This window comes from Homo sapiens, chromosome 7 (genome assembly GCF_000001405.40).
Source record: "Homo sapiens chromosome 7, GRCh38.p14 Primary Assembly".
Taxonomy (NCBI): domain Eukaryota; kingdom Metazoa; phylum Chordata; class Mammalia; order Primates; family Hominidae; genus Homo; species Homo sapiens.
The window spans coordinates 1,590,470-1,609,897 of NC_000007.14; the positions used below are offsets into that span (position 1 = coordinate 1,590,470).

General features: G+C 56.2%; 1 long non-coding RNA gene across 1 annotated transcript, besides 4 other annotated features; it reads left to right on the top strand.

The window, feature by feature from the left end:
• The first annotated feature begins 1,969 nt into the window (after positions 1-1,969).
• On the top strand, positions 1,970-14,321 carry LOC105375123 (uncharacterized). The gene is made up of 8 exons (XR_001745048.2): positions 1,970-2,462; positions 2,634-2,843; positions 6,292-6,435; positions 8,240-8,441; positions 9,957-11,698; positions 11,829-11,923; positions 12,812-13,039; positions 13,452-14,321. It is a non-coding gene; the product is annotated as an uncharacterized LOC105375123 (long non-coding RNA).
• Positions 3,271-3,320: an enhancer, noted in NCBI's record as "active region_25498". NCBI's record gives its function as "activates an Ori minimal core promoter by ATAC-STARR-seq in GM12878 lymphoblastoid cells {active_cell/tissue: GM12878}" and the evidence as "EXISTENCE:reporter gene assay evidence [ECO:0000049][PMID:35858748]".
• Positions 17,550-18,081: an enhancer, noted in NCBI's record as "H3K4me1 hESC enhancer chr7:1647655-1648186 (GRCh37/hg19 assembly coordinates)". NCBI's record gives its function as "activates a minimal SCP1, AML or CMV promoter by ChIP-STARR-seq in naive H9 embryonic stem cells {active_cell/tissue: H9 hESC(naive)}" and the evidence as "EXISTENCE:reporter gene assay evidence [ECO:0000049][PMID:30033119]".
• Positions 18,082-18,614: an enhancer, noted in NCBI's record as "H3K4me1 hESC enhancer chr7:1648187-1648719 (GRCh37/hg19 assembly coordinates)". NCBI's record gives its function as "activates a minimal SCP1, AML or CMV promoter by ChIP-STARR-seq in naive H9 embryonic stem cells {active_cell/tissue: H9 hESC(naive)}" and the evidence as "EXISTENCE:reporter gene assay evidence [ECO:0000049][PMID:30033119]".
• Positions 18,615-19,146: an enhancer, noted in NCBI's record as "H3K4me1 hESC enhancer chr7:1648720-1649251 (GRCh37/hg19 assembly coordinates)". NCBI's record gives its function as "activates a minimal SCP1, AML or CMV promoter by ChIP-STARR-seq in primed H9 embryonic stem cells {active_cell/tissue: H9 hESC(primed)}" and the evidence as "EXISTENCE:reporter gene assay evidence [ECO:0000049][PMID:30033119]".

Below are 19,428 nucleotides of genomic sequence, written 5' to 3' on the forward strand. Positions count from 1 at the left end.
ATCAAAGCTCACTGCAGTCTCAACCATCTGGGCTTAAGCGATCCTCCCACTTCAGCCTCCAGAGTAGTTGGGACTACAGGTGCATGCCACCAAGCCTGGCTAATTTTAATGTTTTTGTAGCAAAGGGATCTGGAGATGCTGCCTAGGCTGATCTCAAACTCCTGGACTCAAGGGATTTTCCCACCCCGGCCTCTCAAAGTTGTTGGGATTACAGGTGTGAGTCACCTTTAATTCCCTGCACCGTGCTAGACAGAGATTGCTGAAGACTGTGTTCCCGGGGCCACATAGCAAATCTGCCAAATGGCAGAGGAAAGGGGAGATAGGGGCCCGGGGTCTGGAGAAATGAGGCTGGGTCTGGGGAAGACAGGTCAGAGGCAGCGTGGCTGGGAGATGCAGCTGGGAGAAGTGGAAGGAGAGGGTGGGCGTGGAGGCTTCCGGAGAGGGGTGGGCATGTATCATCCCTCAGGAGTGGAGAGACTTGGGTTGGGTTCAGAGAAAACCAGGCTGGGGAGAACTTGAGAGCCCAGGCGTGAAGGCTGATGTGTGTCTGGGCTTCACCGCCCTGAGCTGTGTGGTCAGGAGCCATCACTGAAACTCTCAAACATCCTCTTTTATAAGATGGGAATAATAATAGGACCCCTTCAAAGGGCGTCGAGGGAATTCAGAGGGAAAGTCTGTGCATACCTCTGACCTGGCTGTGATATTCATTTTAGGAGTCAACTTGACTGGGGTAAGTGGCGCCTAGAGAGCTGGTAAAAAACATCACTTCTGGGCGTGTCTGTGAGGCTGTAATGGCCAGCCGGGTGGGTCCAAGCTCTCTTCAGCAGTCCCCGGGGCTGGCAGCTAGCAGGTCTTGTGGTCTCTGAGGCCTTGGGGGGCACCTCCCGTTGTTTGCCCCCACCTACATCTGCTCAGAACACGCTTCCCACCTCCACCGCCCCTTCTCCCTGCAGGACCACCTGCCTCTTCCTGCCTCCCCGCCCAGCCTGCCTTTTCCTTGCACGACAGCCAAAATCCCATTCCCCCAAGTTTCCAGAAGGGATCAGCACTTGAATCAGCAGACCAAGTAGACAAGTCCACCCTCCCCAATGTGGGCAGGTGTCACCCAAACCACTGAGGCCTCCCCCGGGACAAAGGCAGGGGAGGGAATTCTCTCTCTTCCTGTGCTGGGACATCCATCTCCTCCTGACTTTGGACATCGAGCTCCTGTTCTCAGGCCTTCAAACTTGGACTGAATTGCTCCACTGGCTTCCCTGGGCCTCCAGCTTGCAGACAGCAGATGGTGGGGCTTCTCAGCCTCTGTGATTCTGTGAGCCGATTCCCATGTAGATCTCTCTCTGTCTCTCTCTCTCTCTCTCTCTGTCTGTCTCTGTCTCTGTGTCTCTGTACACACATGCACACACAGACACACACATATATCCTTTGGTTCTGTGTCTCTGGAGAACCCTGGCTAATCTATGTGCACTTCCCAGCCACCCAGCCTGAGCCAGAGCTGTCTGGGAGGCTGCAGCCTCCCTCGCCGGGAGCCCACATCAGTCAGACGGCTGTGGGTTGGCGGGTGGTGGGGAGTTCCCCTCCCCGCAGCATCCAGCTGGTGGTCCGAGGCGCCGCGGCCCCTCACAGGGCTCTGCCTGCGGGAGGCTGGACTGGTTTCCTTCTTGGGCATCTCAGGATCTCAGCAGAAACTGGGGACTTCCTGAGGTCATGCTTCCGAAGGTGGGACGTCCTCACTGCATGCCACCGGCCGACAGGAAGCATGGCTGGCCCAGCCCTCCGGGGATGGAAATCCACTCTACTCATGACTGGGCAGGAAAAATGGGGCGCGAAGGATGGGAAGAGCCGTGGCGGCCCACCCAGAGACCGGCCAGCTGGCGTCTAGCTACAAGAGGCCATGCAACAGTGGGAGTGGGTGGTGGGGCCGGGCGGGCAGGAGCAGCCCACTCTGCGGGGGTGTGGGGACAGACACGCACTCTATGGAAGTACCTCGGTGGCACCAGGAGTCACTGGGGGCACCCAGCAGGTGCATGCTTAATGCATGATGGGTGAGACGTAAACAGCCAGCCAGGCGGGTCCAAGCTCTCTTCAGTGGTCCCCAGGGCTGGCAGCTGGCAGTGCAGGAAATGGGGTCCCCGAGGCCTTGGGGGGCACCTCCCGTTGTTCGCCCCCACCCACATCCGCTCAGGACACGCTTCCCACCTCCACCGCCCCCTTTCCCTGCAGGGACACCTGCCTCTTCCTGCCTCCCCGCCCAGCCTGCCTTTTTCTTGCACGTCAGCCAAAATCCGATTCCCCCAAGACTCTGCCTCATCAAAGATCCTCTTTCTCATCACCATAATTTTCCATTTGTAGGTTAAGCTGCACCTGGGGTTCTCAGAAATCTGCTAACTCTCTTCCAACTCCCTGAACTCCTCAAACGCCTCGTCCTCCCCTGCTTCTGTTGTTCAGAGGACAGGACGTAGCAGGTGGGGGCGTGGAGAGGGGGCGGCTGGGGAGTGCCTTGTCCGGGAACATCTTCGGAGACCATGTATGGGTAGGGGGGAGCCAGGCTCCTCCATCGAGTCCATAGAACTGTTTACCTGGAAACAGCAAGACCGAGGCAGCTGTGCTCTCACCTTTTTGTCCGTCCTTTCCAGGGGTCTGGAATCTGAGGCTCAGAGCCCTTTCCCAGGAAGAAGAGGGCAACCAGCCCCTTTCAGCATGTCCCGTGCTCCGTGCACCTCTGTGACACCTGGTTACTGTACTCTGAAGCTTCGCACACCCCCGCAGTCTCCATCGTAACCCCAGAAAACCAAGGCTCAGAAGGCGACGGGCCCCAGGGCACCCGGACGGTGACGACGGTGGCTGTGAGATGACAATCTGGGTCTCTGGGATTTCAATTAGGTTTGGAGGATAAAAGGTGTGAATAGGAAGCTATCACACAAGCTAGAACATGCCCGGTCCCAGATCAGGCTGTATTCCTGTGATTTGGTGTGGGTACAGAGGAGAGACTCTCCCTGGGGGTCCAAGTGGACAGTAGCATTGGGGAGGGCATCCCTGGCAGGGGGCATGGCATGGGACAAAGGCTGGGGGGAGGGAGGCTTGGGGCAGATTGAGTGCAGGATGCCTGTGTGTGACCAGGCCGGGCGGCCCCCAGGCCTCGGGGCAGCCAGACCCACCTTGCCTCAGGGCGGTGCTCACAGAGGCTGGGCAGGGAGTTAGCAGGACGCCTGCAGGACCTCCTTGTGAGCCCCCTGCTGGCCAAGGGGAAGGAAGGAGGCCTCTGAACATGGGGAGAGAAGCCAGAGCCCAGCCCTGGCACCTTGGGCCCTTGGGAAGCTGCTATCCAGGCAGGGTGGACTGGAGCCCCCGCAGGAGACCCCCAAGCCCAGAAGCACCTCTGCTGATAGTGCCCCAGGTTCTCTGCCTTTCCGAGATGGTCCCAAGGTCACCACCCCAGAGGGACACAGCCCCAGGCCAAGGGCGCTAGTCTGCCCTCCTTCCTCCCTCCTTCCCTGCTTCCTGCCCCTTTTCTTCCCCCTTCTTCCCCCCTTTTTTCTCCCTCCTCCTTCTTCTTTCCCTCCTCCCTCCATCCCTCTCTCCTCTATGCCTCCCTCCCTCCATCTATCCTCCCTCTTTCCATCTCTCCCTCCCTCCCTCCTCCATCCATCCTCCTATCCATCCACCCTCCCATCTATCCATCCATCCATCCATCCATCCATCCATCCATGCATCCACCTTCCCATTCATCCATTTATCTATTCATCCATCCGTGCATCCATCCATCCACTGTCCCTTCTATCCCTCCATCCTCCCATTCATCCATCCTCCCATTCGTCCACCCTCCTATCCACCCACTCTCCCATTTATCCATCCTCCCATCCGCCCTCCCATCCATCCACCCTCCCATCCATCCATGCATGCATCCATCCATCCATGCATCTATCCATCCATCCATTTATCCATCCACCCTCCCATCCATCCACCCTCCCATCCATTCATGCATGCATCCATCCATCCATCCATGCATCTATCCATCCATCCATTTATCCATCCACCCTCCCATCCATCCACCCTCCCATCCATCCACCCTCCCATCCATCCATGCATCCATCCATGCATCCATCCATCCATCCATCCATCCATCCATCCTTCCATCCTTCCACCCTGCCATCCATTCGCCCTCCCATTCATCCATCCATTCTCCCATCCATCCACTCTTCCATCCATCCATCCATCCATCCTCCCTACATCCACCCTCCCATCCATCCATGCATCCATCCATCCATCCATCCATCCATCCTCCTATCTATCCACCCTCCCTTCTATCCATCCATCCTCCCATCCATCCATCCATTCTCCCATCCATCCACCCTCCCACCCATCCATCCTCCCATCCATCCATCCATTCTCCCATCCATCCACCCTCCCACCCATCCATCCTCCCATCGATCCATCTATCCATCTTGCCATCCATCCACCCTCCCGTCCATCCATCTATCCATCCTCCCGTCCGTCCATCCATCCATCCATCCATCCATCCATCCATCCTCCCATCCATCCACCCTCCCGTTCATCCATCTATCCATCCTCCCATCCATCCTTCCATCCATCCTCCTGTCCATCCCTCCATCCATCCTCCTATCCATCCACTTTCCCATCCATCCATCTATCCATCCTCCTATCCATCCACCTTCCCGTCCATCCATCTATCCATCCTCCCATCCATCCACCCTCCCATCCATCTATCTATTCATCCTCCCATCCATCCCTCCCATCCACTCATGCATTCATCCATCCATGCATCCATGCATCCATCCATCCATCCATCCATTTATCCTCCCGTCTATCCACCCTCCCTTCTATCCATCCATCCTCCTATCCATCCATCCATCCACCCATCCCTTCTCCCACCCATCCACCCTCCCATCCATCCGTCTATCCATCCTCCCATCCATTCACCCTCACATCCATCCTCCCTCCATCCATCCTCCCAGCCATCCACCCTCCCACTCATCCAAGCAGTCCTTGCTTGTCTAGGACTGTAGGAGCTCTGTCAGCTCTGGAGATACGGCAGTGAACAGGACTAGAAAGGCCACTGCCTCCACGGAGCTCCCTGTTTAGTAGAAGAGAAAGAAAACAAGAAACGAACATGCCTGTATTTCTGTGTACATGAATGCTGAGAATCTGGAGAGACCAGCTGGGATGAATTGGAATCCGGGGGCCTGGGTGGTTTCTGATGAAGAGATGTTTGGGCTGGGGCTGCAGCAGGGGCCAAGCTGGCCATGGGATGGAGAAGAGGCCAGTCCTGCCCATGTCAAGTCTGGAGAGGGTGGGGCAGGGGCGAGGGTGAGATAGGGACCTGAACGTTCATTCTGGAGCTGTTTCACAAGCACCTCCAGTGCACCAGAGTCCTGGGACTGGCTGTGGCACGGGCATGGGGTGGGGTGGGATCGTGAGCACCCCTCACCTCACGATCCCCTCGTCCCTTCCCTCACCCGCCGCTGCCCACACCCCCGGCTCCTTCCAGGATAGAGCCCGGAAAACAAGTCGGGGGAGGGAGGGTGCAGAGATCAAGATAAACCCCTCTCCCCAAATCATATTCCAATTCCTCAATTTCACCTCCTCACTCAACAGGGAGCCATCTCTCTAGTTTTCCAGGCCAACCCTTAGGAGCTGGGGATTTATTTGTGCATTTTTAACCCATTGTACAGATTCTGACTCCATTAGCGAAGCCACACCTTGGGGGCCACAGTGCCTTTCGTCTGCAAAGGGGCCCTGCAAAGACCGGTCAGGAAAAATTAATTAAACATTTTAACCTCTCAATGCCTCATGGCTGCGACATTCCCCTCCCGTGTCAGCCAAGAGAGAAACAGCCGTGTTTATCTACAAGCTCCTGGAGGAGCAGAGGCCACTCAGCCCCTGATACAATCTTGGGTGCCGTGTGCGTGGGGACAGTTTACAGCCCCGCATGACAGAAATCAGATATTTAGGGAGATGGAGTGATGGCCTGGCGTTAGTGGGGTCCGACGTGTTCCAGGCTCCGTGCCCTATCCCCAGGGCTCTAATGGCTGTGTGTGGGTGGGGGTGTACTCCACCTATGAGGCGCTGGGAGTCAAATGCATTTATCAGCTTCCTGGAGATTTAAAACCCAATAGCCTCTCTCCTGCCATTGCAGAGAATGGCAACAGTGTACGCAGGCGAAACACGTGGTTCCCAGGGTCCACGCTGCTTTTTCTTCCCCCAGGCCTGCAAATTATTCTCCCCGTGGTCTTTCTGCTTGAGTCACTGACTCTATGCTCGTTTACCAACCAGGTACCCTGTGCCAGGTGCCGTGTCCACGCTGGGTCACCTCGGGGGCCAAGACAGCTGATGGCCGCATCCGGGGGTGTGGACAGATGGGAAGAGGAGCGCACCAGTCAATGCGTGAGCCCATTTCCGGCAATCAGCGCCACGACGGTACCAACGTGGAGGGGCGCAATCGTGCCTGGGCGGGTGGTTCGAGGAGGAGCATCTGAGGAGGTGATGTTTCGGTTGAGGCTTGAGTGCCGAGCAGAAGGCAGGCAGGTGGAGGTCGAGGGAAAAGCATTCTGGGCGGAGGGAACAGTGTATGTAAAGGCTCGGAGGCAGAAAAGGACTCAAATGTTTTAGGGACTGAAAGAGAGGCAGCTTCCTTCAACTGCCAACTGCCATGATGAGTTATTGCAAACTGTGGGACTTAAAACCACAGAAAGTTACCATCCCACAGGTCAGGAGGGAACCAAGGAGTCGGAGTCAGCAGGGCTGGTTCCTTCTTGAGGGTCCTGGCAGCGGAGAATTTATTCCAGGCCCTTCTCCTGCTTCTGGCAGCTGCCAACAGCTCATGGCTGACACACCGCTGCAATCTCTGTTGCTGTCATCCCACGGCCCTCGTCACATGGCCTCTGTGTCTCTGTGTCCTTCTCTGTTCTTACAAGGACATCTGTCATTGGATTTGGGGCCCATCCTGAATCCAGGATGACCTCATCTTGATGTCTTTAATCAATTCCATTCCCTAAGACCAATTCACAGGGTGAAAGGTCCCATGCACAGGTCCCAGGGGTCAGCGCTTGGGTAGCTCTTTTTGGGGTCCCCGTTCACCCCATGGCAGGCAGCACGTGATCTCGGTGGTGAGCCAGGAGGCTCACGGTATGAGACGAAGGAGCCAAGGTGGCGGGGCGAGGCTCCGTAAGGCCTCTGGCCCCTGGCACGGGGTTGGCTGTGTTCAGGGTGCAGCTGGCAGCTGCTGTGGGGTTTGCAGGGGCCTGGATGTGGGCACAGGGAAGAGAGGATGATCCTCAGAGCTTCCAGGGGGTCTGTGGGGGGCAGGGCCTCTCACACTTCATTGAGAGGAAAATGGAGAAACCAGAACTCCTGGGGCCTTTGGGAAAATGGAGCAGTGATGGAGGAAGAAGGGGAGATGCCGCGGGAGGCCATGGGACGTATGGAGGGGATCGAGTGTGGGTCGTGACAGTCCCCGGCTCACGGGTGGGATCCCAGGCTCAGCTGGGCAGAAGGGCCAGCAGGAGGGTTAAGTGTATCCTGAGGCCCGTGGCTGGATAGGATGTCACACTGAGTTTTTAAATTACACTTTTCAAAAACATAAAAGTATTTACCAACCTTGAGGGGCTGCACCTGCTGAGTTCTGATGCCTCCTTGCGGGGGTCATTAAGGAGATGGAGGCTGGTGCAGAGGCCAGTGCGGGGCATGCGCTGTGTGACCCTGAGCCAGCCCCTGCTCCCTCTGGGCCGCCCTTCTGTATCAATTACGAGGTCTCCAGGCCTCCGGCGCATCTTCGTGCCTGTAATTTTCCCCAAAATCTGAGAGAAGCTTCCCACCCACGATTGCCTTCCAGGCCTGCTCTCTGGTGTAAACACGGCCTCAGCTGAAAGGTTGAACTAATGATGAAGCTTCTCTGGATTCATTATGTTCGCCGGGTTTCTCTCCCCTGTGGGAGCTGTGATGTCAGATAAGCAGCTTTTGGAAAGTGGGTAGCCGGGCTGCTGGCCTTCTGCAGGACTGGCCAGGGCAGGCTCAGTGGGTGTCGGCTGCAGAGGGAAGATGTGTCAGAGGGAGGCAGCAGGTGCACAGGTGTGTGGACAAATATGTGGACAGACGTGTGCACAGGGGTGTGGACAGGTGTGTGTGTGTGGACAGGCATGTGCACAGGTGTGTGTGGACAGGTGTATTAGTTTGTTCTCATGCTGCTGATAAAGACATACCCAATACTGGGTCATTTATAAAGGAAAGAAGTTTAACTGGCTCACAGTTCAGCATGGCTGGGGAGGCCTCAGAAAACTACAGTCATGGCGGAAGGGGAAGCAAACACGTCCTTCTTCACATGGCAGCAGCAAGGAGAAGTGCAGAAGTGCAGCGTGAAGCAGGGAAAACTATCAGACTATCAGATCACTTGAGAACTCACTCACTATCACGAGAACAGCATGCAGGTAATCGCCCCCATGATTCAATTACCTCCCACTGGGTCCCTCCCATGGTACGTAGGGATTATGGGAACTACAGCTCAAACTGAGATTTGGGTGGGGAACTACAGCTCAAAATGAGATTTGGGTGGGGACACAGTGAATAGACATGTGTGTGCACAGGTGTGTGGACGGGGTGTGCAGCCTTCAGAGACTCAGAAGGCCAGTGGTGCGCAGGCCCCCGGGGGCGTGACTGGGCCAGGTTGGAGCCCTCCAGGCTGAGCCTGACCTGGCAGGTGTGCAGGGGGTGGGCTGCCCTGCCAGGCGGGTCAGACTTCTGGTTGGCAGCAAGACAGGAGTGTCCTGGGCTGAGTGGAATTCCCAGGCCAAGGGTCTTGCACAGGAGAAAGGGTGGGGGGTGGGGCTGTGCTGATGCAGAACCCCAGAGAGGGGCTCTGGTGGACACCACCCCACCTGTGATGGCCACAGTTTGTGGTGGGAGCAAGGTCTGTGGGGTTCCATGGGTGGGCGGGGTGGTGGGAGGCAGCATCTGTGGGCGTGGGCTTCTGAAAATGCTGATCAGGCGGGTAGGAGGGGTGGCTGTTGTGAGGCCCAGCCCATCCCTGGAGCGACAGTGGGAGGGTTTTGGAGAACCAGACTTGGTGGGGAGGTCACTCTGGAACTGGGATTCAGAGGCTCAGCTGCGGTGGTGCTTGAGGCTGTGTGGGGTCCGAGGAGAGGTGGCTCCCAGCAGGCGAGGCCTCGAAGGGGCTGTGCAGCCATGCGGAAGTCACTTGGCCTCTCTGGGCTGTGTCCTTGTCAACGACTTCAGCTCCCATTTAGCTTCCCCAGGGCCAGGCCCGGGTGACAACACCCCAGATGTGTGGGACTTGTGACCAGTGTGGACCCGAGAGAACTGGGAGGAGGTACAGGAGCGGGGAGCCCGGTCCTGGTGGCTGGGACTATCAGCAGGGAGTTATGGGGCAGGAACAGGGAGAAGCCAGAGCTTCCCGCACCTTCGGGGCTGTGGTCCGAGGGGCTGGGTGCTGGGACGCCTGTGACTGGGGAGAACAGGGCCTGGCAGGGCCTCCCTGGTGAGGCGGGGGAGAGTGGAGGCCCTGGGCGATGCCCGCCTGTTTGCGACATGAGGGTCTCTGGCAGGAAGCCAGGAAGACAAGCCCCTCAGGGTCCTGGGTGTTCAGGGTGTTTGGAAGCCCAGAGAGCTCAAATGGAGGACAGAATCCCCCTGAATGCTGGCGGAGAAGGTCGAAGAGGCCGCAGCTGGGGACATTGTGACCAGAGTGGATGGCCTTGAGCGAGGGCAGCAGGAGCCGTCCCCGTGCATAGGGCAGCGGGGTGGCCGCCGAGTCCTCCGTGGCTCACGTCCCCGCAGAACCTGATCTGCTCGTGAGCTTGGCAAGCATCTCCTGGATTTTTAATTTGTGGGAGAAGCGACCTTTTATATTTCAGATCACATGAAGTTAATTTGCACTCCAAGTTCAAGAGAGCTCCTGAAAAGGTACAAATGTGATTTCTTAACAGCTGTTACTGTCGGGCGCAACATGACAGAAATGATGAGAAGCAAGAGTTCATTTTTAGACAGAGAGGACTGCACGCTCTCTCCCTAGAGCCAGCCCAGGATGGCAGCAATCAGAGAAGAACCCGAGGGAGCCTGAAGGCCAAACACTCACCTTGTGCGATGTCCCTGACCCATAGCTGTCCTGTCTCTGTTTGAATACCTCCAGTGACAGAGAGCTCACTACCTCTAGGAGTGGCAAAGTCTAATGTTGGTTGGGTTTGGTCAAATCTGCTTTTGCTGATTCTGTTCTGCCCTCTGAAGACACACAAAATAATGCCCGTTCCTTGTCCTCAAGGAAGTGGCTCTCTCATCTGCTGCTGACCACCTCTGATTCCTTAAGCACGCATATGTGTGCTGATGTCTGGGTCCAGCCCACCTTGGTCCCTGGGAATGGTCTGGTTTTCCAGTGTCTCTAAAGTGGAGGCCTTGGGACCAACACCATGTTCCTTTTCCTGGTGGACCAGCCAAGATTCCTATCACTTTTCCACTTCTGGGTGCTGTACCCAGCAAGGCGGGGAAGGTCACGTTCATGCAGAGCTTCTGAGGTACCTGTCATCCCGCCTGGGTGTCGGGGAGCAGGCTCTGTTTGTGGGGTGCTGTGGCCAGCGCTGTGGGGGATAGGGCAGGAGAAGCAGCCCGCAGGGGGTTAAATCCGGTGGGTGCAATGGAGTTGGCGGTGTTGGGAGCTGGCGGTTTTAGGATGAACCTGCCAGTCCAGGGTGGGGCTCAGCTGCTACCCAGGGAAAACTTGCCCCGTACACCAGGGCTGAAGCTGAAACAGTCAGATCCTCTTTCTCAGTTATTTGGGGGAATTGGGGACAGTGGGTTTGTCCCTGCTGGTGGCCATGGGGTAGCTTTATTTCCCACCGGATGTGGGAAATCTAAAGTCTGGTTTTCAGAGAAAGGAGAGAAGGGGCCGGGTGTGGTGGCTCACGCCTGTGATCCCACCACTTTGGGAGGCTGAGGCGGGCAGATCACCTGAGGTCAGCAGTTTGAGACCAGCCTAGCCAATATAGTGAAATCATGTCTCTACTAAAAATACAAAACTTAGCCAGGCGTGGTGGTGGGCACCTGTAATCCTAGCTACTTGGGAGGCTGAGACAGGAGAATCGCTTAAACCCGGGAGGCAGAGGCTGCAGTGAACTGAGATCGCGCCACTGCACTCCAGCCTGGGTGACAGAGCCACTGTGACCAGTGTTTCTTTGGTTTTTTCTTCTCTTGTAGAGATGGGGTCTTGCTCTGTCCAGCCCAGGCTGGTCTCGAACTCCTGGGCTCAAGTGATCCTCTCGCCTTGGCCTCCCAAAGTGTCTGGATCACAGGCATGAGTTGCCACACCCGGTCTCCTCATATGACAGAGCAAGACAGAGGGAGACTCCATCTTAAAAAAAAAAATAAAAAAAGTGGAGAAGGAGAGAAGGGGTCAGGGAGGCAGCCAGGAGGGAAGAGTGAAGTAAGAAGCAGATGAAGAGAAGCAGGGTGGGCACACACCCAGAGCCCCCCTGTGTCACCCGCCTGCTACCAGACCCAGGAGGGTCCCGTCGGGGTGGGGGTCCTGGGACTTAACTCCTCCTCCAGCCTCAGCCCTCCCGGTGCCAAGATTCTTCAACGTCCTCGGGATGCACCTCCGCACTGTGGGGCCATCTGGGTCAGCCCGGACGCACCGGCCTCTGTCTGGGTCCCAGTCTTCTCACCGCCAGGCGGGCAGGTCAGCAGACCAGGCAGGACCGAGCCCGTCGCCCGGGGCTCTTGTTGTCTGTGCCATTTCGGTGCCTTTTGTCCTTGCTTCCCGCCGCTCCTTGAGGATGTTTACCGGCTGCTGGGGCCGTGCCTTCCAGGTGAGGCCTCGGTCATTCCAGGTGCAGCCTCGGATCAGGGATGACGGCCCAGGCTGAAGTATCATGATGAAGAGCTTGGACCGAGGGCAGTTAAGGTGTGTGAGTATTCAGATCCCCCACGTGCCCTTCTCTGGAAGGTGCCAGCGACCTGTCCTCTCTGGGCCTCTGTCTTCTCCTCTGTGGAATGGGAATGATGGCGTCCGCACCTCATAGGGCTGCTGGAAAATGGGTCTGGGTCTCGGCTGGAATTTCAGCCAGCGCCGAGGACCAGAGGCCCTGGTTCCTGTCCACGTGGCCTGGGACCCCCGCGGCCCCGCACCTGGGCTCCGGGGGCAAGTGTGTTCGCTTTGAGGACCCAGCCTTGGAGGTCAGATGGCATCCGTTATGGGTTAAATTTTGTCCCCCTAAATTCATATGTTGAAGTCTTAACCCACAGGGCCTCAGAATGGGATGGTATTTGGAGCCCGGGCCTTGAAAGAGAGGGTGACAGTAAAATGAGGAGACTGGGTGTGGCAGCTCACGCCTGTGATCCAGACATTTTGGGGAGGCCAAGGCGAGAGGATCACTTGAGCCCAGGAGTTCGAGACCAGCCTGGGCTGGACAGAGCAAGACCCCATCTCTACAAGAAAAGAAAAAAACAAAAAAACAGTGGTCACAGTGGCTGATGCCTGTAATCCCAGCCCTTTGGGAGGCCATGGTGGGAAAATCGCTGGAGCCCAGGAGTTTGAGACCAGCCTGGGCAGCATAGCAAGACCTCATCTCTACTGAAAAAAAAAAGAAAAATTAGCTGGGCATGTTGTTGCGCCCGTGGTCCCAGTTGCTTGGGAGGCTGAGGTGGGAGGATTGCTTGAGCCTAGGAATTCAAGACTGCAGTAAGCCGTGATGGTGCCACTGCACTCCAGCCTGGGTGACAGAGCAAGACCCTGTCTCAAAAACAAAAGTCCAGTGAAGTTATAGGGGTGGGCCCTAATCCAATCTGACAGGTGTTCTTATATGAAGAGGAGATCAGGACACACACACACACAGAGGCACGACCCTGTGAGGACCCAGGAGGAAGACAGCGTCTGCAAACCAAGGAGACAGGCCTCAGTAGGAACCAGCCCTGCCCACGCCTTGGTCTCGGACTTCAGCCTCCAGGACTGTGAGGGATGAATGCCCATGGCCGGCGTCGCTTGGTGTGTGGCGTTTGTTCCGGCAACCCTGGGAGGCTGGTGCGATGTCTCTTTGGTCTTACTCTCTCCATCGAGACCCTCTCGAAGGCCTGTCTGGGTTGAGGAGGGGGCGTGGAAGATCCTGCCTCCTGGTGGGGAAGGTGTTGGGAGAGTGGTGGTACAGGGGGCGTTGTGGCAGTGGTTTGTGGGCCCCGCCTGCCACACAGCCCCCATAGAGACTGAGAGTCCCCCAGCAGGTCTGAGGAGAGGGTGAGCTCTTGGGTGGGATTCAGGCCGGGAGAGGGGTGGGGAGCAGGGCTGGGGGCTTTAGGCAGGCCCAGGTCCTCAGGACACAGGCAAGGGAGGCCAGAGAGGCAGCTGGGTCTCTGCGGTGGGCCGAGGAGTTCAGGAAGCCCGGCCTGGGCTGGAGAGAGTCCCAGGCTTGACCGGGGCCATTTCTGTAACACTTCAGGGCAGGTGCACGGGGCTCAGAACCCCAGATTGCAAAAATGCAGCCCGGGAGGCTACCAGGAGGCTCCCGCCGCTCAGAGACGGAAGACGGCCCCCGTCACGGCTGCAGCAGGTGCTGCCAGGGACGCTGCTCGGAGCTCCAGGCTGCAGGGACAGGGCCACCCCGGGCCGCCCGCTCGCCCGGCCTGATGTCTCCCACCCGGCACTTTGATCCTCTGAAAGCCTGTAGACCGCGGGCTCTATAACCTCAAGATTTGTGTGCCGGGTGGGTCTGGAGGTCCCGCGTCTCAGCGGATTTTATTCCTCTCATTATTTTGCTTAACGGGCTGTTACTGCTGTGTCAGACAGCATGGAGCGAAAAATCACACTTTTTGGGAGATGTTGTTCAAGAGAGAGACTGGAAAAGCATGACTTAGTGGCGAAGGCTGCAGTGCTGAGCTACCACCTCCCGGAGCAGAGCCGAGGCCCTGAGGTGGGTGAGAGGGAGGTCCAGGCCCAGGGGCCAGGGGGAGCCCACAGCCACTCCTGGGGGGCTCCTCTGGAAGCCCTCCTGGGCAGGCAGGTCTCAGGGTCCCAGTCCAAGCCAGCGCTCAGCTTCAAGACTGGAAAAAACTGAACTTCTCCTTTCTCTTTTCTGTTTCTGCTTCTCCCAAGTCCCTCAGATCCCCTCATTCATTCATTCATTCATTCATTCATTCATTCATTCATCCTTCCATGAATGAAAGGTCTCTTCAGTGTCAGAGGACACAGAAATGAATGAGAAAAAAAATCTCTCTTTTCCTGGGGCCAATAGATGTGGACTTTGCCCTCGAGTACTGCTCTTTAATTCCCTTTCTTTTATCTTTAAAATAAACTCCTTTAAAAACAGGCAGTTCAAGCCTGGGCAACGTGGCAAGACCCCATCTGTATAAAATACAAAAAAATTAGCCAGGTGTGGTGGTACGCTCCTGCAGTCCAAGGTACTTGGGAAGCTGAGGCAGGAGGATCGCTTGAGCCCAGGAGATCAAGGCAGCAGTGAGCCGAGATCGTGCCACTGCACTTCTGCCTGGGTGACAGAGTGAGACCCTGTCTCAAAACAAAACAAAAAACCAGGCAACTCAGATGGTTAAATACAGACATACCATGTGACCCAGTCATTCCACCCCTGGGAATATACCCGAGAGAAATGGCTACATATATCCACACAAGAACTTATATGTGAGTGATCACAGCAGCTTTGTTCATAATAGCCAAAAAGTGGAAATTGCGCCAACACCCCTCAGCTGAAGGCTGGGTGAACACAGGAGCTGGTGTAGCCACGATGGAATATTATCCGACAATAGAAAGGAATGAAGTTCCACACAGGCTGCAGCATGGATGAACACTGAAAATATTAGAGGCTTAGTTTATTATTTTATTTTATTTATTTTTTTTTTTTTGAGATGGAGTCTCGCTCTGTCACCCAGGCTGGAGTGCTGTGGCGTCATCTCGGCTCACTGCAACCTCCACCTCCTGGGTTCAAATGATTCTCCTGTCTCAGCCTCCCGAGTAGCTGGGATTACAGGTATGTGCCACCACGCGCGGCTAGTTTTTGTAATTTTAGTAGAGACGGGGTTTCCACCATGTTGGCCAGGCTGGTCTCAAACTCCTGACCTCAAGTGATCCGCCTGCCTCGGCCTCCCAAAGTGCTGGGATTACAGGCGTGAGCCACTGTGCCTAGCCCAGATGCTAAGTTTAAAAAGCCAGACACAAAATACCACATCTGTAGAATTCCACTCATGTGAAATGCCCAGAATAGGCAATTCCATGGAGACACAAAATAGAGGCGTGGCTGTCAGGGGCTGAGAGGAAGGGTAGTGGGGAGTGATGGCTTAAGGTGTGTGGGGTTTGTTTTTGGGGGTGATGAAAACGGTCTAAAGTTGATTGTGGTGATGGTTGTACGACGCTGTGAATACTCTAAGAAGCGTCGAATTGTGTGCTTTACGTGGGTGAGTTGCATGGCATATGAATTATATCTTAGTAAAGCTGTTCGAAAAATCACAGTGCCTAGGTAGATTGTTAAAAGTATCCGTTATTTTCTGTAGAATATTTAAAATAGTGCCTGAGACATGCTGGATGTTCAATAAATGTTAGCTATTAAAAATAATACATTCCTTTTAAGCACCTGCAGCCCTGCCTCCTCCAGGAAGCCACGGGGCCCTGACAGGAAAGGCCTCTGCGGGGGCTTCCTCAAGACCCCTGCCACCCCCGGTCGGCCACAGCCACTCTCTCCTGCCTTATTTCTGTTTAACTCTGAGTTTCAGGCAGACATCTCTGTCCATGGCTTTGTTTTGTTTTGTTTTTCTGGGGAGAGGGTCTCACTCTGTTGCCCAGGCTGGAGCGTAGTGGTGGGATCACAGCTCACTGCAGCCTTGAACTTCTGGGCTCAAGTGTCTTCCCGCCTCAGCCTCCAGAGTAGCTGGGACCACAGGTACCCACCACCCCCATGCCCAGCCCTGATTTTAATAGTCACCCTGGAGGGTGACCCTTTCTCTTTTCTGTTTCTGCTTCTCCCAAGTTCCTCAGATCCCCTAATTCATTAATTCATTCATTCTTTCATTTATCCATCCATGAAAGCTCTCTTCAGTGTCAGAGGATACAGAAATGAATCAGTGTCAGAGGATGCAGCAGCGGCCTCCTCCTCTTCTCCCCTTCCCTTCTCCTCCCACTCTTCCCCCCCTCCTCCCACTCCTCCTCCCCTTCCCCGTCTTCTTCCCCCTCCCTCCTCCCCTCCCCTTCCCCCTCTTCTTCCCCCTCCCTCCTCCCCTCCCCTTCCCCCTCCTCCTCCTCTTCTTCCCCCTCTTTCCTCCTCTCCCCGTCCCTCCTTCCTCCTCTCCCTGTCCCTCCTCCCCCTCTTCTTCCCCCTCCCTCCTCCCCTCCCACTCCCTCTCGTCCTCCTCTTCTTCCCCTTCCCTCCTCCCCTCCTCCTCCTCCTCTTCTCCCTCTCCCTCCTCCCCCTGTTCTTCCCCCTCCCTCCCCCTCCTCCTACCCCTCCTCCTCCTCCTCTTCGTGCCGGGCACCTTCTGGTTCCCTGCCTCTTTGGAGGTCGCCCCCTTCTTGTCCTCCCTCCACTCACTTATCTGTGACCCCCAAGCTCCCCTGTTGCCCCCCGCCCCTCTAATACAGGTGAGGTCAGCAGCCAGACTCTCCCTCCTCTTTCCTCTTTCTCTCCTCTCTCTCTTTCCTCTCTCTCTCTCTCCCCCACCCCATCTTTCCTCTCTCTCCCCGCTCTCTCTCTCCTCTCTCTTCTCTCTCCCCTCTCCTTTCTCTCTCTCCTCTCTTTCTCTCGTTTCTCTTTCTTCTTTCTCTTTCTTTCTTCTGTGTGTGTGTCTCTCTCTCCGCCCCCGTCACACACACACACACGCACATATACACTGTTGTTTGCTCCCTGCCACAGGTAACGTGGGTGACAGGCATAAATGGTGGTGTTCAGCCCCTTGCAGCTGGAACTGGAATGGGCTCCCGGGCCCCCGGCTGGGGCTGCCCCCATAAAGCATGTTGATTTCTGATCCGGAGGACAGAATGGCAAATCCATTGACCAAAATTTGCAGTTAACATTAAACCGACAGAACGGCTAATAATTCAGATGATATTAAAACTATCCAACTTTGTCTGAGTAAATTAGAAGAATAAAATGAGATTTATTAAGGTCAAAGTCAGCGCAATCTCACAAAAGAGAAGGAATCAGAAATAGAAAAGGAGGAAATTTGGAACAATGGCGGCATAGAGACAGCTGGGTGGTCACCCCTGATGATAAATTAAATCTTAATCATGATAACAAGGCCTCCAGTTGCACCTGGGGAGCTCAAAGCATCTCATAGCTTCCGCTGAGACATCCTGTCTCAGGGACTCCAGGCAACAGTGTGGGGGCGGGGGGCTCTTGGCCTTGTGTGGCCGCTGGTGGTGCTGGCCAGGGCCTGAGCTGGGCTGGGGCTGGGCAAGGGTTGGGCTGGGCAGGGGTTGGGCAGGGTTTGGACTGGGTCTGGGCGGGGCCTGGAGGAGCTCAACGATTTGCTCAAGGCCGCAGAGCCAGGAAGTGGCAGAACCAAGGCTTGGACCTGGAGCTGCTGAATTCTGGAGCCCCGAATTCTTCCAACTGTTCAGCAACTTTCTGTGAGCCCCTGTGTGTGCGAGGCGTGGAGGGTGCCACGATCAAGGCGGTTCCTTCCCCCAAGAGGTGTAGCCCAGGGGAGAGATCGAGAAGTCAGCATGCATTTATCCTGCAGCGATGAGTCCTCCCACAGGCGATCCGTGTGGCTCTGGGGGTGCAGAGTCCTACCACAGGCGATCCCGGGGGCTCCGGGGGTGCAGAGTCCTCCCACGGGGGATCCTGGGGGCCCCGGGGGTGCAGAGTCCTCCCATGGGGGATCCCGGGGGCTCCAGAGGTGCAGAGTCCTCCCACGGGGGATCCAGGGGGCTCTGGGGGTGCAGAGTCCTCCCACGGGGGATCCAGGGGTCTCTGGGGGTGCATGGGAGTCCTCATAATCTCCCCATCCTGGGGGCCCAGGGCAGGCTGGACAGGAGTGGCCAGGAGGGAGCTGGGCCTCGCAGGTGTGATGTGGTGGAAATGTTCCCGGCTGATGGAGCAGCATGTTCAAAGGCCAGCACCCCTGGGGAGCTGCAGGTCTTTCCGTCCAACAGGAACCTGTGTTCAGCTCGAGGGGGACAGTGGGCACCAATGCGACTGGAGAGCTGGAGACAGATGGGGCTTGGAAGTCACGCCAAGGGATCTGGATCTCACCTTGTGGGCACTGGGGAGCCTTGGAGAGGGGGATTACAGGCAGGGCCAGAGGGCAGACTTGGCCTTTAGACGATCTCAGTGACCACCCAATTCAGGGGCTGGATTGAAGGGGTTAATTCCTGCAGCGGGGAGGCTGATGTTTAGAGCATGTCCCTCAGGGCTTGTAGATGAGCGGAAAGAGCCCAACTCCAATAAGATGAAGTAAATAGCAGGGAATTTAGCGGCTCACAGAACTGGGAAACGCAGGCCTTCAGGTTTGGCTGGTCAAGGGTACCACTGAGATCTCCTCTCTGGGTCCCTCTCTTTCTGGGGATGGATTTCCTCCTTGCTGCTGGGGACAGTGGCCACCAGATGTTCTAAACGCCCATCCTCCCAGCATTGTGACCCAAAGGGTGACAGCAATCATTCTGTCTGGGAGAGAATTTCCAGGAAAGACCGAGTCATGTGCCCGAGCTGCTCGGCATGGCCCGGGGGTCAGCTGGTCTCGTGCTGGGGAGGGGTCGGCTCCATGACTGGCAGCTCGGCTCTGGCCACAGTGCACCAGGGATGCTGGGGCAGGTGATGGGCTGGCGTGCTTTGTGCAGCCACTGGTCCAGGCAGTGCATCGGGGATAGGCTTGGGCCTGCATAGGGGGCAGTGGGGAGACAGCTTGGTGAAGAACTTCCAGAGACATCTAGAAGGTCAAATAGACAGGATTTGGTGATTGACCAGATGTAGAAAGAAGGTGGGATCAAGAAATGCTTTCCAGGGCCGGGCGCGGTGGCTCACGCCTGTAATCCCAGCACTTTGAGAGGCCGAGACGGGCGGATCACCTGAGGTCAGGAGTTCGAGACCAGCCTGACCAACATGGTGAAATCCTGTCTCTACTAAAAATACAAAACTTAGCCGGGTGTGGTGGCGTGCACCTGTAATCCCAGCTATTCTGGAGGTTGAGGCAGGAGAACTGCTTGAGGTTTCAGTGAGCTGAGATTGTGCCACTGCACTCCAGGCAGGGCAACACAGAGAGACTCCATCTCAAAACAAAAAAAATAAAAGGAAAGAAAGAAAGAAAAAAAAGAAATGATTTCCAGGGTTCTGCTTTGATCAGCTGGTTAGGCAGTTGGTGTCATTCGCTGTGGTAGGAGACTGAGTAAGGGGAGCGGTTCCTGCAGGGCGTCTGGAGGTGCTGGCCTCCAAAGAGAGACATTTAGGGACCATCCATGGGGGTGGTTATTCGAGG